The sequence below is a fragment of the Homo sapiens genome, chromosome 12, assembly GCF_000001405.40.
Source record: "Homo sapiens chromosome 12, GRCh38.p14 Primary Assembly".
In the NCBI taxonomy this organism is placed as follows: Eukaryota; Metazoa; Chordata; class Mammalia; order Primates; family Hominidae; genus Homo; species Homo sapiens.
In genome coordinates, this window is record NC_000012.12 from 132,831,167 (window position 1) to 132,847,924 (window position 16,758).

The following is a 16,758-nucleotide window of genomic DNA, read 5'->3' on the forward strand; positions in this document are numbered from 1 at the left end:
GGTTCAGCATCACTAGCCATTACAGAAATGCACATTAAGACTATCTTGAGGTCAGGCGCGGTGGCTCAAGCCTGTAATTCCAGCACTTTGAGAGGCCGAAGCAGGTGGATCACCTGAGGTCAGGAGTTCGAGACCAGCCTGACTAACATGGTGAAATCCTGCTTCTACTAAAAATACAAAAATTAGCTGGGCATGGTGGCAGGTACCTGTAATACCAACTACTTGGGAGGCTGAGGCAGGAGAATCGCTTGAACCTGGGAGGTGGAGGCTGCAGTGAGCTGGGATCACACCATTGCACTCCAGCCTGGGTGACACAGTCAGACTCTGTCTCAAAAAAAAAAAAAAAAAAAGACTGCCTTGGGATATTAGTATACACCTATTAGAACAGCTGAAATAATATACAGCAGTGGCAATATGAAATGCTGGGAATAATGTATTCTGGAGTAACTAATCTCTTATACATTGCTGATGGGAACAGCAATAGTGCACCCACTCTGGAATATAGTTGGGCAGTTTCTTCAAAAAGTAAACAATTTTATGACCCAGCAACTGCATTCCTAGACATTGAACTCAGAGAAATAAACTTATGTCTACACAAAAGCCTGTACATTACTGACCCCAAACTGGAAACAACCAAAATGTCCTCTGACATGGTGAAACAAACCATGGACCCCCCACGCCACTCTGACATGGTGAAACAAACCGTGGACCACCCACGCCACTCTGACGTGGCAAAACAAACTGTGGACCACCCACGCCACTCTGACGTGGTGAAACAAACCATGGACCACCCATGCCACTCTGACGTGGTGAAACAAACCGTGGACCACCCATGCCATGGACACTACTCAGCAATAAAAAGGAGCTGACCACTGATGTGTGCAATAACTTGGACGAAGCTCCAAGGCATTACATCCAGGGAGGAAAACATCTCCGAAGGTCTACACTGCATGAACTGTACGATGTGTCCACTTATGTCACAAAATGACAGCATTATAGAGTGGTGGTGGGGTTCGGATGACTAAAAAGGGGTAGATGGAGAGAGATTTTTGTGGTGATGGAACTGTTCTGTATTTTGTGACCGTGGTTACGTGAATGTCCTCATGTGATAAAATGACAGAATGAAGAAAACACTCCACCAAGCTCAGTTTCCTGATTTTCATATTGCACTATCCTAAGGTGTAGCCAATGGGAGAAATAGGGAAAACATTTAATTAGCATAAGATCTAGTATTCCATAGCACAGGAGGGTGAATATAGTTAATAATAATGTATTGTATATTTTTAAATAACAAAAAGAGTGGAACTGGAATGTTCCTAACAAAGAAATGATACAGGCTTGAGGTGATGGATACCCCAGTTACTGGGAGTTGATCATTATACATTGTATGTCTGTATTAAAATATCAAGGTACTCCATAAATATATACACCTTTTATGTACCCACAGTAATTTAAAATTTTAAAAATTTAGCAAGCAAAATGTGACAAACATTAAATTTAAATACAGTTAGAAACAATGAATCTAATCATATACTAAGTTGATGGCACAGTGTGGGAAAAATGCTAATCTAAGTAAAATTCTTAACAGCTTTAATACAATTTCTATGCAATAAAATATACCCGTGTTGTGTGTGCAGTTCAGCGACTGTAGTAAATGTGCAGAGCTGTGCACCCATCACTCCAACCCAGTTTCCGGATACTTCCGTTACCTCAGAAGGATCCTTCTTGCATTCACTCCCTATCCCCTCCACCCAGCCCGACAACCACTCAGTCACCTTCTGTCTTTATGAATGTGCCTCTTCTGGACATTTCATAGAAATGGGATCATATCGTATGTGGCCTTCTGTGACGCCTTTTCACTTGCATGGTGTGTTTAAGGTCCATCCACACTCAGCACGTTTCCTCGCTGCACGATACTCCAGTGTCTGGATACACCCATTTTGTCTGTCCATGCATCAGCTGATGGACCCACTGAGGTGCCTTACGCGAGCCCAGCACTATTCTGCGTGCGGGGGGTCCCTGCTTTGGTCCAGTTTCATGTTTGTGTGTGGATACCTTCAGAGGGCGGTAACTGATGAAAAGAAAATAAAACTGGGTGAAGCGTTCGAGCGAGAGGGGCTACCATCTGCATGGGGCCGTCATTCATATTTATCGTAGCCTACTGTCTGCAAGTACTATTCTAGGCACTGTCCCAAATCCCTGCTCTTACAGAAGGTATATTCTAGTGGGGACCAGACAACAAGCATAGAAGGTGACAGAAAGAGTCAAGAAAAGGCAGAGGCAACCCTGGGGAGGCTCGCTGCTATTTCAGGCCGATGGTTGAGGGAGGACTTCTCAGGAGAATGTGAGCCAACAAGTAAGAAACGGAGTTGCTGGGCGTGGCGGCTTACGCCTGGAATCCCAGCACTGTGGGAGGTAGAGGCGGGCAGATCGCTTGAACTCAGGAGTTCAAGACCAGCCTGGGCAACATGGTGAAACCCTGCTCTCTACTAAAAATTAGCTGGGTGTGGTGGTGTGCACCTGTAGTCCCAGCTACTCAGGAGGCTGAGGTGGGAGGATCATCTGAGCCCAGGAGGTGGAGGCTGCAGTGAGCTGACATTGCGCCACTGCCCTCCAGCCCTGACAACAGAGCAAGACACTGTCTCAAAAACAAAAAAAGAAAAGGAAAAGAAAAAAAAGGAATCATGCAGGTACTGGTGGGAACAGTGTCCCAGGAGAGGGAAAGGCAAGGAGAACGAGTACTCAAAGGCACCTTTGAGGAAGTAATATTTGAGCTGAACGTGCGTGACAAGGAGGACCAATGCACGCACAGATCTGGGAGAAGAGCAGTGAGGTGAGGGGGCAACAATCAGAGCCACAAGAAGCCCCTGAAGAGAAGCCTGGGGCACTGAGGACAGCCAGCAGGATGACTCCTGGGGTTGGGCCTGAGCTACAGGGAGGCCATGCCATCTTCTGACAGTGGAGAGGGCAGGTCTGCCGGGCGTACGTGGTGGGCCTGGGGTCCCCACTGGAAACAGCTCTCTTTGACAACATGAATCTGGGATGTTTGAACACCAAGTGGAGCCATCAGGTCAGCAGTTAGAGCTGAGTGTCTGCCACAGAGACCTAGAGCTACAGGGTGAAGGAACGTGCTGGGGAGCAGGGGAGAGGGTGAAGCGGATGTTGGGTGCTCAGCCATGCCCCACACTCCACCTCCAACCACAGCACCTCTGAGACAGACTGGACCCTTCCTGAAAACAAAAACCAAACGGGATGAGTGTGTGGGGGGTAGTGAGCTTCCTGTGGCTGCTCTAAGAAGTTACCACCAACTTTGCTGCTTAAACTAGATTTATTCTCTTGCAGTTCTGGAGCTCGGAAGTCCAAAATGAAGGGGCAGGCAGGGCTGGTTCCTTCTGGTGGCCCTGCAGGGAGATCTGTTTTCTTTTCTGCTTCGACAGCCTGCCCTCCTCTCCTGGCTGGAGGCCCTTGCTCCCTCTGCAAAGCACATCCCTCCCACCTCTTCTCTGTCACCAAGCCTCCTCTTCCTGCCTTTGACTTCTTGCTTGCTTTTTTTTTTTTTTTTTTTTTGAGATAGAGTCTCGCTCTGTCGCCCAGGCGGGAGTGCAGTGGTGCGATCTCGGTTCACTGCAAGCTCCGCCTCCCGGGTTCAAGCCATTCTCCTGCCTCAGCCTCCCGAGTAGCTGGGACTACAGGCACCCACCACCACGCCCGGCTAATTTTTTGGTATTTTTTAGTAGAGACGGGGTTTCACCATGTTAGCCAGGATGGTCTCGATCTCCTGACCTCGTGATCCGCCCGCCTCAGCCTCCCAAAGTGCTGGGAGTACAGGCGTGAGCCACCACGCCCGGCCTCTTGCTTCCCTCTTACAACGACTCCTACTGTTGCACAGAGGGCCCACAAGCTAATCCAGGATCCTCCCCTCATCTCAAGGTCCTTAATTCCACCATATCTGCAAAGCCCCTTTTACGGTGCAAGGCAACATCATCACAGGCTCAAGTGATCGGATACGGGTATCTGTGGTGGCGGGACGGGGACATGGCTCAGCCCACCACGGAGTGTCAATGGTATCCAGCATGTGGGGTTTGCCAAACAACAACAAACAAAACCACCCAATTTTTATAAAACCCCGTGGCGTGCGAGCTTTGATGGCAGAGTGTTACAATATGTTCAAGCCCTAAATCCCAGGACCTCAGAGGTGACTGTATCTGCAGACATGGAACACGTCATGAATTTGGGTGTCATGCCTGCACGTGGGCCATGCTAATCTTCTCTATATCGTTCCAGTTTTAGTAGGTGTGGTCTTTAAAGAGGTGATTAAGATAAAATGAGGCCACTGGTGTGGGCCCTAATCCAATAGGACTGGTGTCCTCGCAGGAAGAGATTAGGGCACAAACACGCATGAAGAGAAGATGACGTGAGAACTCAAGGAGATGCTGCCCACGAGCCAAGGAGACAGACCAAAGAGGAACCGGCCCCGCTGACACCCTGATCTCAGAGTTCCAGGCCCCAGAACTGTGAGAAAATACTTTCTGTTGTTTAAGCCGCCTGTTCTGCGGCGTTTTGATCCAGCGGCCCAAGTGGACCCACATTCAAGGCCAGCACTGGGCAGGGCGGGTCTCACAAATGCATGCTCCCAGCACAGCGCACGGCCCTCACAGTGCCAGGCTCCCAGCACAGCGCACGGCCCTCACAGTGATAGGCTCCCAGCACGGCGCACGGCACTCACAGTGCCAGGCTCCCAGCACGGCGCACGGCACTCACAGTGACAGGCTCCCAGCACGGCGCACGGCACTCACAGTGACAGGCTCCCAGCACGGCGCACGGCACTCAGAGTGCCAGGCTCCCAGCACGGCGCACGGCACTCACAGTGCCAGGCTCCCAGCACGGCGCACGGCACTCACAGTGCCAGGCTCCCAGCACGGCGCACGGCACTCACAGTGCCAGGCTCCCAGCACGGCGCACGGCACTCACAGTGACAGGCTCCCAGCACGGCGCACGGCACTCACAGTGACAGGCTCCCAGCACGGCGCACGGCACTCACAGTGCCAGGCTCCCAGCACGGCGCACGGCCCTCACAGTGCCAGGCTCCCAGCACGGCGCACGGCACTCACAGTGCCAGGCTCCCAGCACGGCGCACGGCCCTCACAGTGACAGGCTCCCAGCACGGCGCACGGCCCTCACAGTGACAGGCTCCCAGCACGGCGCACGGCCCTCACAGTGACAGGCTCCCAGCACGGCGCTCGGCCCTCACAGTGACAGGCTCCCAGCACGGCGCACGGCACTCACAGTGACAGGCTCCCAGCAGGGCGCACGGCACTCACAGTGACAGGCTCCCAGCACGGCGCACGGCACTCACAGTGACAGGCTCCCAGCACGGCGCACGGCACTCACAGTGACAGGCTCCCAGCACGGCGCACGGCACTCACTCCTGGTCTGACTGGCCTTCAACATTCTCTCCTGAGTCCATTCCTTCCACAGACATGCACGACCAAGTGTCTGCTCTGTGTGAGGAACTTTAAGACCCCACCATCTAGACTCACCGCCTCAGAAGGAGACAACCGTGAAAAGTGAGCGACAGAGGAAGGGGCGCCTGTTTGTGCCGCGGGAAAGATTTCAAGCCCAGGGGACGGCTCATCAGCTCATCAGACCTTCACCGTTCAGTAGCCAACTGGTCAGTGATCAGTAGATGCTGCCCTGGGGCCAAACATTTCAGACAAATAAACAACAGTGGGCAGACAGGCAAGATCCCTGCTCTATTTTTTTGAGAGGGGGAGACAAACGGTAAACAGATGTTTCCTTTCCGATAGTGACAGGTGCTGGGGGGAAACTAGACTGGCTGGCGGGGTGGGGGCAGCCCTGCAGGAGCTGAATGAGGAGAGGCTGCAGAGGGAGGGGCTGGTACCTGAGGGGCTGTTTGTGAGAATTAGCTGGTTCGGTGGAGAAGCAGAGGAACACCTGAGGGGCTCCAGGAGAAGCAGGTAGGGAGAAGAGGTTTTCTGAGGGGTGGAGGCAGGGGTCATACATGCTGGGCCTTCAAGGGCCATGATATGGTTATCATTACTATGTAATAAACCACCCCAAATGCAGTGGCTTAAACAACTACTTATTTCTCATGATTATATGCTGGCTGCCTGGTGCAGCACTGTGCTGGTGTTTAACAACCTTCTCTTCAGAAGAAAACAAAAGCAAAATTAAAAACCACCCTGATTTGAAGCATTTACCAATTTCCACAGTGCAAACACTCCTCCCAGGGCCCATTCCAACCAGGCCAACTGAGCTGAGTGGGTAAGGCTGGAAGGGGTGCCATCCCACACAGGCCACAGAAGCACACACCCTCGGGCCTGCAGGTAACAGGCAGGTGCGGTAAACTAACTAGAAAGTAGTGCGTCCTGAGCACTCATCACCTTTGTTTTCAGTGTAACTCAATTCTAAGTGTAGAGGATGCTTGAATAATGGCTGTCTACCAGTTACCAGCACTAGGCGTTTCTGGAGGTGGCTCCCCCGAAGATCACCCGGCTCCGTCCTGCTGCTGGTCAGCGCGCGGATCTGCAGGGCTAGGCTGTGCTCTGCATGCGGCCCTCCGTCCTCAGGGAGGCAAGACCCGGCTTCTCTACACGGCTGCAGCCGCCCTCAGAAGGCGCAGGAGCTAGCGTGCATGCCAAAACGGAGCCCACGTGGAGGCAGAGGGCGGGCACGGCCGCGGGGACAGCGTTCTGGTTTCCCCATCAAGCCAGGCTGGAGGGACGATCTACTTTCCTAAATCCCCTCCGTTCTCATGCTTTCCTTCCCTTCCCAGTGCAGGGCTCCCGGCAACCTAGCGGCCCTGGCAGTGACTCTGGGGCCTCTTCAGGGAGCCGGCTGCAGCTGCCTCAGGGCCAGCATTGCTCCACTCTCCCAGCCTGCCAGCCCGAAGCTGGGGGGCTGTCACCAGGAAACCCTTGCTGGCGGAAGCCCCTTCCAAACTCAGCTGCCTCTCTGCCTTGGCCACACCCCTGGGGTGAAGGCCGTGTGGTGCTGGGAGCAGCCCCTGGACCCCGGCTCTCACACCTGGGCCCGACCACTCCCATCCTGCTGGCCCTGAGGTCATTAAGATGACTTAAAGCAGATTTAAAACAGCCTTTGTAGCTGGCCTAGGGAGGAGGGTTGGCCTGAATCCCTCAGTCTGTTTTAAGCCAATCTGCCCAGACTTCCTGGCTGCAGTCAGAAGCTATGACAGAGGCCATCCCAGAGAGGCCTCACTGGGGTGGACGGGTTCACCTAGAACCTGAGGCCCCCTTCCCTGGCTTGGAGCCTGGGCAGCACACGGAGGGGTGGGCAGGGCTGACCCCCGCTTCTGAGGGGCACCAGGGAGCACAGAGGGAGCCGCAGATGAGGAGTGCGTGGGGAGACGGTCTGTGGGGCCAGCGGGCAGCTGCAGCCCTGCCCTGGGTTTGTCCCAAGGCTGGGCCAAGGAGCCAGGAAGAAGCAGTGGGATCTGCAGCAGCACCAGGCTGTCCTCCAGAAAGCCTGTGGACGACCCACGCAGCCACCCCACAAGGAGAGCAGGGCTCCAAAACCACCACAGCCGGTCAGTTTTGCTGGGTGGGATGGCTGGGTCTTGAGGACGAGGAAGTACAGAAGCTCATGAAAAGACGGAATGAGTTCACGGCCACCTGCTTCCATAAAACACAGCTCCTTACCACACCCGAGGAGTAACTGCCCTGATCTCCCTGCCTCCATAAAACACGGCTCCTTACCACGCTGGGAGGATAACTGCCCTGCTCCCAAGGCCTCCTCCCTCACATCACAGCCAAACCCAAGCTGTTCCGACTGCTCCAGGTAGAAATCCTCTTCACAGTGGGCCAGGAGTTGGACTTCTCTGAAGGACTAAGGAAGCAGGAGTGAGTCCCTAGGACACCTGGAGCCCAGAGGCTCTCTGAGCTGCCTGCCCTTCCTGGACAGGTGCAGCTGGTCCTGAGGAAAGACCAGCATCCTCTACAGGGCAAGTGTTCTTGTTTCTACTTTTTGGAGATGGGAAGGGGAAGAGTGAGTATCAACCGATCTCTCTAAGACACAGACGCAGGGTAGCCCCAGCCCACTTCATTGGCGAATGCCAGCCTCCCCTCTCAGCCTCGCACCTGCACAAACTGGCAACCTCCCCTCTCAGCCTCGCCTCTGCACAAACTCAGGAACTCCCCTCTCGGCCTCACCCCCGCACTAACTCAGGACCTCCCCTCTTGGCCTCACCCCTGCACAAACTTGCAACCTCCCCTCGGCCTCACCCCTGCACAAACTTGGGACCTCCCCCTCTCAGCCTCACCCCTGCACTAAGGACCTCCCCTCTCAGCCTCGCCTCTGCACAAACTCAGGACCTCCCCTCTCGGCCTCACCCCCGCACTAACTCAGGACCTCCCCTCTTGGCCTCACCCCTGCACAAATTTGCAACCTCCCCTCTCGGCCTCACCCCTGCACTTAGGGACCTCCCCTCTCAGCCTCGCCTCTGCACAAACTCAGGACCTCCCCTCTCCCTCACCCCTGCACCAACTCAAGACTTCCCTTCTTGGCCTCACCCCTGCACAAACGTGCAAACTCCCCTTTTGGCTTCATCCATGCACAAACTTGGGACCTCCCTTCTCGGCCTCACCCCTGCACTAACTAGGGACCTCCCCTCTCAGCCTCGCCCCTGCACAAACTCGGGATCTCCCCTCTCAGCCTCGCCCCTGCACTAACTTGGGACCTCCCTGCTCAGCCTCACCCCTGCACAAACTTGGGACCTCCCCCTTAGCCTCGCCCCTGCACTAACTCGGGACCTCCCTGCTCAGCCTCGCCCCTGCACTAACTCAGAACCTCCCTGCTCAGCCTCGCCCCTACACAAACTCGGGACCTCCCCTCCCGGCCTCACCCCTGCACTAACACGGGACCTCCCCTCTCAGCCCCACCCTTGCACAAACTCAGGGTCTCTGCATTGTGGCTTCTTCTGGTGCTCAGCTGAAGACAAAGCCTCCACACTGGATGAACAGGTTGTGGCTTCCCAGCATTGGCAGAATGAAGAGACCTGAGCAGGTTTCACAGGAGTCACTGAGGGACAGCAGGTGACAGAGTGACCATCACTAGCAGTGAGGCACTCGGAGCTCACTCTGCATGGGGCCTGCCTCCCTCGCATGGGGAAGTGAGGCAGCCCCAGACACGAGCCCAACACGAGAGCGGAGGAGCAAACGCGGCTCATTTATTAGAATATGCAAAAGAGAGGACTTTCCTCCACAAATACAGATTGCTGCTTCTCAGTTTCTATCAAGAGCAAGACAACAGTTGAAAACTGTATTCCTGAGAAGAAGCAAAAAAGTTATCAGTTTACAAACAAGGATAACAGGTGATTTCAACAAAAGATAAAAAACTTTTTTTTCCAAAAATCAAAATTTCAAGTATTATTCCAGATGACATGGCAAAGCTAGCACAGGCGGAAGCCAAGGTGCCCCTCAGGCTCTGTAGGGTCTTGGAGGAAGGGCCCGGGCAGCATGAGGGAGCGGCGCGTCCTGGGACCTGCCTCCAGCCCTGGGCTTGGGGCCGTGGTCACTCACACAAGGGAGCAGCACGTCCTGGGACCTGCGTCCAGCCCCAGGCTCGGGGCCGCGGTCACTCACACAAGGGAGCAGCATGTCCTGGGACCTGCGTCCAGCCCCAGGCTCGGGGCCGCGGTCACTCACCGGTTAGCAAGGAGCGACTAACTTGGCGGCCACGTCGAGGGTTAGCAGTTTTGGACATTGGAAGGTTTCTTTTTTTAATAAACAGAAGCATATGCTTATTCTTTCAAATACCATACTATACCCAATTTTAGTCAATTTGTAAATTATAAATTATATTATTTGTGCTACAGTTTGTGACATTTAAATCTTATTAGAAGATAAGCACCAAACCTATTAAAATAAAAAATAGATAAAATGCTGTGGTTTTCCCAGCAGCAGGATATTGTGTACGTCCTGTAGGCTGTAAACTTATGCTCCCTTCTCCTGAAACAATGTTTTTGATAAACTTGCCCTTCTCCCTTGAAACTTTTCCTAAAAACAGACTTCTGCTTTAACTGTAGTTTCGGAAAATGTACAAAAGAGCAAAACTGCCCCTCTCGGCGGGACGGCCGCATGTTACAGAAAGGCTTCGTCTCTGCTGCTGATGCCACCACGAGCCCTGCCCAGCGCTCACCAGGAGGGCGGGCTGCGGCCCCCGGGGCTCTGGGGAGGGTCTCACTCAGAGGGTAAAGCTCCACAGAAGAGTCACCCCAGAGCACCTGTCGGAGACCCTGCGTCCCTTCCCTCAGGGGGCTGTGAAAACACCTTGACGTGCTTGTCTCTGTATTTTAAAAACACGCTCTCTTCACCTCCAGTGCTGAAAGCTGCTCAGGGCCTCTGGATGCTTAGTTTTTGAACCTTGTCTGTTCACAGATATGATTGAATTTCCTGCAGGGAGAAAATGGCCAAATTACACAAGAGAGCATTGGAGAGGCAATCAAATAAATTACACAACAGAGCATCAGAAAGGCATTCAAATAAACGCATTCGGAAACCATACACAGAAAGAGCTACCTGAGAAAGAGTGTGTGTGCTTCTCACAATATCAAAGAAACTAACCCCCAAAGGTAAACTTCTTTATCCCTTTAAAAATTTTGAAACAGAAGTGCAAACATCTGGCCACGCACAGTGGCTAATGTCTGTAATCTAGCACTTTGGGAGGCCGAGGCGGGCGGATCACTTGAGGTCAGGAGTTCGAGACCAGCCTGGCCAACATGGTAAAACCCCATCTCTACTAAAAATATTTAAAAAATTAGCCTGATGTGGTGGCGAGCACCTGTAGTCCCTGCTACTCGGGAGGCTGAGGCAAAAGAATTGCTTGAACCTGGGAGGCAGGGTTGCAATCAGCTGAGATCACACCTCTATACTCCAGCCTGGCAGACAGAGCGAGACTCCATCTCAAAAAAAAAAAAAAAAAAAAGAAGTGCAAACATCTTAGATAATTTTTTTAGAGAAGAGAATAAAAGCTGCACCTCCTCAGGCATCCCCGTGGCATCTGCTGACAGGGCTGAGGCAGACACACCAAGCTGGATGGCCTGTGGCCACCTTCCCTCTCCACAGACTGTGGGCAAGGAGGACCAGCATGGCTGCACATTTCTACTGAAAACTGTCTGCCAGTCAACAGTGAAATCTCTTTTTGTAACAACATGGTCTCTTCCATGTGCTGTTTGTGCTCAAACACAAAGCAAGGTTTTTATTCCACAAAATCCCTGTGAGGGAGGCGCCTTTCTCTGAGTCCACACAACATCTCGTCCTGAGGGCACTGTCTCCATCACTTTAATCTGAACTCCTTGGGCCACAGGAGTGATTTACGTGATCACCTAACCTAAGAGATGCCTCCTGACCTACGCCTCCCAGGGCAATGCAGATGGCGCTGTGAACCTCCTTTAAGGAGCACGGGAAAGACACCACGTGAGGGTGACGATGTGACAGCAATCACAAATGCCTGCTCACGGGACGGACGAGAACCCAGCTGTGCAGCGCTTTGCGAGGGGGGCCTGAGGCCCTCAGTGACTGCAGCCTTCGACTTAGAAACGGCTAAGCCTGAAATGATGGGGTGTGCCCCGGATGCCTCAGACAACAGATAAAGCTACTCCAGCCAGGAAGACACAGAAGTGGAAGACGGAGATAAAACTGCATGAAACGAAGGGATAAAGGAAGAGCAGGATTTCTAAATGAAGATACCGGTTCCTAAAGGATGCAACCTGAGAGAAGCATAATGACCATATCAGCCTATTTATAAGCAGGCAGTTAACTCATTCATCACTCTGTAGCTGACGCCTGTGCCCCCAGCTGCACTCACATGGCGTGGTGAGCTTTCACCTGAGTGCGGCAGTTACGGCCCCAGTAGCAGTCAGGACGGGATGTTACGGCCACTGGAAAAAGAGAAGGGGTACGCATCTATGAGATGTATTGCACGCACCCACTCAGCTACCTGAATCCCAGCAGAGACCCAACGACAGACGCTGCGGTGGAAACGCACGGCCTCTGGTCCCTCCATAACTAGTTTCCTCGGACCGTTCTGAGATTTCAGGAAAGGAAACACATGTTTAACTAAAAACCCAACTGAGGGTCAGGTACAGTGGTTCATGCCTGTAATCCCAGCACTTTGGGAGGCAGAGGCAGGAGAATCGCTTGAACCTGGGAGAGGGAAGTTGCAGTGAGCCAAGATCACACCACTGCACTTCAGCCTGGGCGACAGAGTCAGACTCTGTCTCAAAAATAAATAAATAAATAAAAATTAAAAAATAAAAACCCAATTGAGGAAATAAAATTACCCCAGTTGACTATTGGATGTCTTTACAAATCTGTTTTAGAAACCCACGTTACACTCATGAGTAACTGCAAATAGACCCAGGGCCTAAAACAACCACAGCCCTGTATGGCCTGACGTCCTGCCGGCTCCTGACTGAGGCCAAATTCTGCTTAGAACATTGAGCAAAGTGCAAACAGGGTGTCTGTAAAGAAAAGAGTGCTGGCCGAGCGTGGTGGCTCATGCCTGCAATCCTAGCACTTTGGGAGGCCGAGGTCAAGAGTTCGAGACCAGCCTGGCCAACATGGTGAAACCCCGTCTCTACTAAAACACAAAAAATTAGCCGGGCGTGGTGGCGGGTGCCTGTAATCCCAGCTACTCAGGAGGCTAAGGCAGAAGAATTGCTCGAACTCAGGAGGCAGAGGTTGCAGTGAGCCGAGATTGCACCACTGCACTCCAGCCTGGGCAAAAACAGCGAAACTGTCTCAAAAAAAAAAAAGAGAGGCAGAAGCCAAGAAGCCAACCCAGACAGAACTAGAGCCATGAGGAAGTCGGGGGCTCCTTACCTGGCAACTCGGAAGCAGGAATGTTCTGCCGATACTGATAGGTCAGCTCACGGAAGCTGCGCAGGCCACAGCAGTAACACAGAACGGTGTCTCCCGTGACTCTGTAATCTGGAAGAAACACAGCCAGTTACCCAGCAACACCATCTTCCCAACAGCAGCGCACGGACTTCACAGCAGTGGGAGACTAACGCACTGACCATAAATGGGGTGAAGACAACGGGCGACACATTAGGAAAATAAGAACAAAGCCAATCTAGATACGAATTTATTTTTATTGAGACGGAGTCTCGCTCTGTCGCCCTGGCTGGAGTGCAGTGGTGCGATCTCGGCTCACTGCAAGCTCCGCCTCCCGGGTTCACGCCATTCTCCTGCCTCAGCCTCCTGAGTAGCTGGGACTACAGGTGCCCGCCACCACACCGGGCTAATTTTTTGTATTTTTAGTAGAGACTGGGTTTCACCGTGTTAGCCAGGATGGTCTCGATCTCCTGACCTCGTGATCCACCCGCCTCGGCCTCCCAAAGTGCTGGGATTACAGGCGTGAGCCACTGCGCCCGGCCACCAATTTATTTTCTTACAGCAAAACAATCCCACGTGGATATAACATTTATTTTATTTATTTTTTGAGACCAAGTCTTGCTCTGTCGCCCAGGCTAGAGTGCAGTGGCGGGGTCTCAGCTCACTGCAACCTCCACCTCCTGCGTTCAACTGATTCTCCTGTCTCAGCCTCCCGAGTAGCTGGGACTACAGGTGTGTGCCACCGTGCCCGGCTAATGTTTATACTTTTTTAGTAGAGATGGGGTTTCACCATGTTGGCCAGGCTGGTCTCAAACTCTTGTCCTCAGATGATCCGCCCGCCTCGGCTTCCCAAAATGCTGGGATTACAGGCGTGAGCCTCCACGCCCGGCCCCACATGGATATAAAATTTAAATATTAAAACTCCCAAAAAACAAGAAGAAAATGAGAAAATTAGCTATTTCTAAGTATGTCTTGAAAACCAAATTGCACAGAGGAAAGGATTTGTACATTTGGCTATCTACAATTTAAACATCAAAATTAAAATAAATACAACAAAAGTGAACTACTACTATAGTGGAAACATTTGCAACACAAATGAAAATGTGCTATACCCTTAATTAACAAAGATATCGGCCAGGCACGGTGGCTCGCGCCTGTAATCCCAGCACTTTGGGAGGCCGAGGCAGGCGGATCACAAGGTCAGGAGTTCGAGACCAGCCTAACCAAGATGGTGAAACCTCACCTCTACTAAAAATACAAAAAAAAAATTAGCTGGGCATGTTGGCGGGTGCCTGTAATCCCAGCTACTCAGGAGGCTGAGGCAGGACAATTGTTGAACCTGGGAGGCGGAGCTTGCAGGGAGCTGAGATTGTGCCATTGCACTCCAGCCTGGGTGACACAGCAAGATTCCATCTCAAAAAAAAAAATAAATAAATAAATAAAAATAAAAAAACTAAGATTAGCCAGGCATGGTAGCACACGCTTGTGGTCCCAGCTACTTGGGAGGCTGAGGTGAGATGATCTCTTGAGCCCAGGAGGTCGAGGCTGCAGTGAGCTGTGATCATGCCCCTGCACTCCAGCCTGGGCGACAGAGCAAGAACCTGTCTCATATATATATTTCTACAGCCTCCCTTAGTGATAAATTATCATACTCCACAAAGCATCGTGTGCCCCCCTGGAGAGGAGTGACCCTCACCAAGTGACTGACACATCAAGCAAGAGATTCACCAAGTCCCCGAGGGTCCCAGGACAACTGACCCCAGGACCTCTGGATAGACAAGTGGTAGAGACCCTCCAAGCTGGCCCCACCTGTTGGAGGCCACACAAATGTTTCTTATGATTAGGCATAATTGAAGCCTGTCAGTAACAGTATGAACCTGTGATCAATTTAGCAGCTGCCCAGTTGTTACCTCCTCCTTGCTCTTGTTACCCAATAAATATGAAGGGCTGTAGAAGCTCAGGGGCAGCCTTTACTCACTAGAAGCAGGGAGCTCTCCTCTTCTTCCCCATGTTGCCTTTCCTTAAAAGTTTCTTTTGTCTTTTTGTTTTCATTTCTACGTTTGTCCCTTTGTTCAGTCCTGTAATGATGGTCTCAAGCAGTAACAGCAGTAACTGCTGTAGTGAGGGTCTCAAGCAGCAGTAGTGGCAGTCGGCCACACCCACCCTCCCCTACAAGGATAGAAGCTGCTGGAATATGTCATACAGGTTCATGCTTAACTGTCTTTTTTTTTTTTTTTTTGAGACGGAGTCTCGCTCTGTCCCCCAGGCTGGAGTGCAGTGGCGTGATTTTGGCTCACTGCAAGCTCCGCCTCCCGGGTTCACGCCATTCTCCTTCCTCAGCCTCCCGAGTAGCTGGGACTACAGGCGCCCGCCACCACGCCCGGCTAATTTTTTGTATTTTTCTTTTTTTAGTAGAGACAGGGTTTTACCGTGTTAGCCAGGATGGTCTCAATCTCTTGACCTCATGATCCGCCCGCCTCAGCCTCCCAAAGTGCTGGGATTACAGGCGTGAGCCACCACACCCGGCCCACGCTCAACTTTCAAAAAACAACCTGAAGGCCGGGCATAGTGGCTCACGCCTGTAATTCCAGCACTTTGGGAAGCTGAGGTGGGCAGATCACCTGAAGTCAGAAGTTCAAGACCAGGCTGGCCAACATGGGGAAACCCCATCTTTACTAAAAATACAAAATTAGCTGGGTGTGGTGGCACATGCCTGTAATCCCAGCTACTCAGGAGGTTGATGCAGGAGAATCGCTTGAACCCAGGAGGCCGAGGGGGCCTTGAGCTGAGATCATGCCACTGCACTCCAGTCTGGGCAACAAGAGCGAGACTCCATCTCAAAAAACAAACAAACAAACAAAAACAACCTGAAAGCATCAGGATCTTTTTCCTCTCTTCCAGGGTGGGTGAAGGTCGGAGTTGTCACTGGGAGAGCAGACACGCAGGCACAGCCCTGGACACTCACATGCGCCTTAGAGCAGGAGGCAACAGAAGAACTCACCAGACAGCAGAAACACTCCCCGCTGGAGAGCCACGAGGCTCTCGGTCAACATGTTTTTCCATGTCAAACCTCTGGTTGCCAGGTAATTCTGTGACGCAAAAAAAGAGAGGAATAAGAAATACTCGTTTAGAGGAAGAAACACTGAAATAACGAGAGAAAACATTTCATAAAAGGCCCCTGAAAGTGTGCAAAGCCAAAGCTCAGACCCTTATAAGTGGCATTTGCAGAGGGCTGCACGTTCACGGCCTGCAGCACGAGAAGTCTTGTCCAAGAGCCTCCTGGAAGTCCCAAAAGGTTCCAGTGTAACAGTTACCAGAGTCTCTCAAAAGTTCTGCCAAGACCTACACAGCCCAGGTGTGAATGAGACATGAAAGCCAGGCCACAGTGCACACAGCCCAGCAACGAGCCCAGGCTGTTGCACAAGAAAAGCTGAGGACTTGGCATCTGTTCTCTGTGCCCTTCAAACACACACGAGCTGTTGAGCTCCTTCTGTGGGCATCAAAGCAGAGTGTGGGGCTGAGCGGGCGCCTGCCAGGTGTGTCTGTGGCAAGCCTCAAGGCCCCACCATTGTGTGTGCTGTCAGCAAAGTGCTCGGCAGGAGGGCGAATGCGCATGTTAAACATATGTAAATCCTAGAAACCGAGGTAGCTTCCTAGACGTGGGAAGGCAAATGGCCAGAAGAGACAGGGACCAGAGAAAAGGCCCTGGTCTTGCTAAAGGGCGGCACCTTCAAGAAGCCCTCACCGAGAGCTGTGGGAACAAGAGCTGCCGGGAACAAGAGCTGCGGGAAGCGGCTCCTACGAATTGGTGGCAGGAGGCACAAAAACGAAATACCTATTTTTGGAATACGGAAAAAACAGACAAACACCAATGGCATGCAGA

The 16,758-nt window shown here is 52.3% G+C and overlaps 1 protein-coding gene and 1 pseudogene across 5 annotated transcripts in view, besides 1 other annotated feature; both read right to left on the reverse strand.

The window, feature by feature from the left end:
• The window catches only part of CHFR (checkpoint with forkhead and ring finger domains), a 55,263-nt gene continuing 39,694 nt past the window's right edge, over positions 1,190-16,758 (reverse strand). For 4 of the 5 annotated variants that reach the window (NM_001161347.1, NM_018223.2, NM_001161345.1 and 1 more), the window contains 4 exon segments: positions 9,186-10,430; positions 11,845-11,917; positions 12,861-12,968; positions 15,877-15,964. In NM_001161347.1, coding sequence (NP_001154819.1) covers positions 10,388-10,430; positions 11,845-11,917; positions 12,861-12,968; positions 15,877-15,964 — 312 coding nt within the window. In that variant the 3' untranslated portion in view covers positions 9,186-10,387. 5 annotated transcript variants of the gene reach the window in all.
• On the reverse strand, positions 4,208-4,334 carry RNU6-327P (RNA, U6 small nuclear 327, pseudogene; annotated as a pseudogene).
• Positions 4,391-5,590: an enhancer, noted in NCBI's record as "BRD4-independent group 4 enhancer chr12:133412143-133413342 (GRCh37/hg19 assembly coordinates)". NCBI's record gives its function as "activates an origin of replication core promoter dependent on BRD2, P300/CBP, MED14 and CDK7 cofactors, and independent of BRD4, by STARR-seq in HCT116 cells {active_cell/tissue: HCT116}" and the evidence as "EXISTENCE:reporter gene assay evidence [ECO:0000049][PMID:35650434]".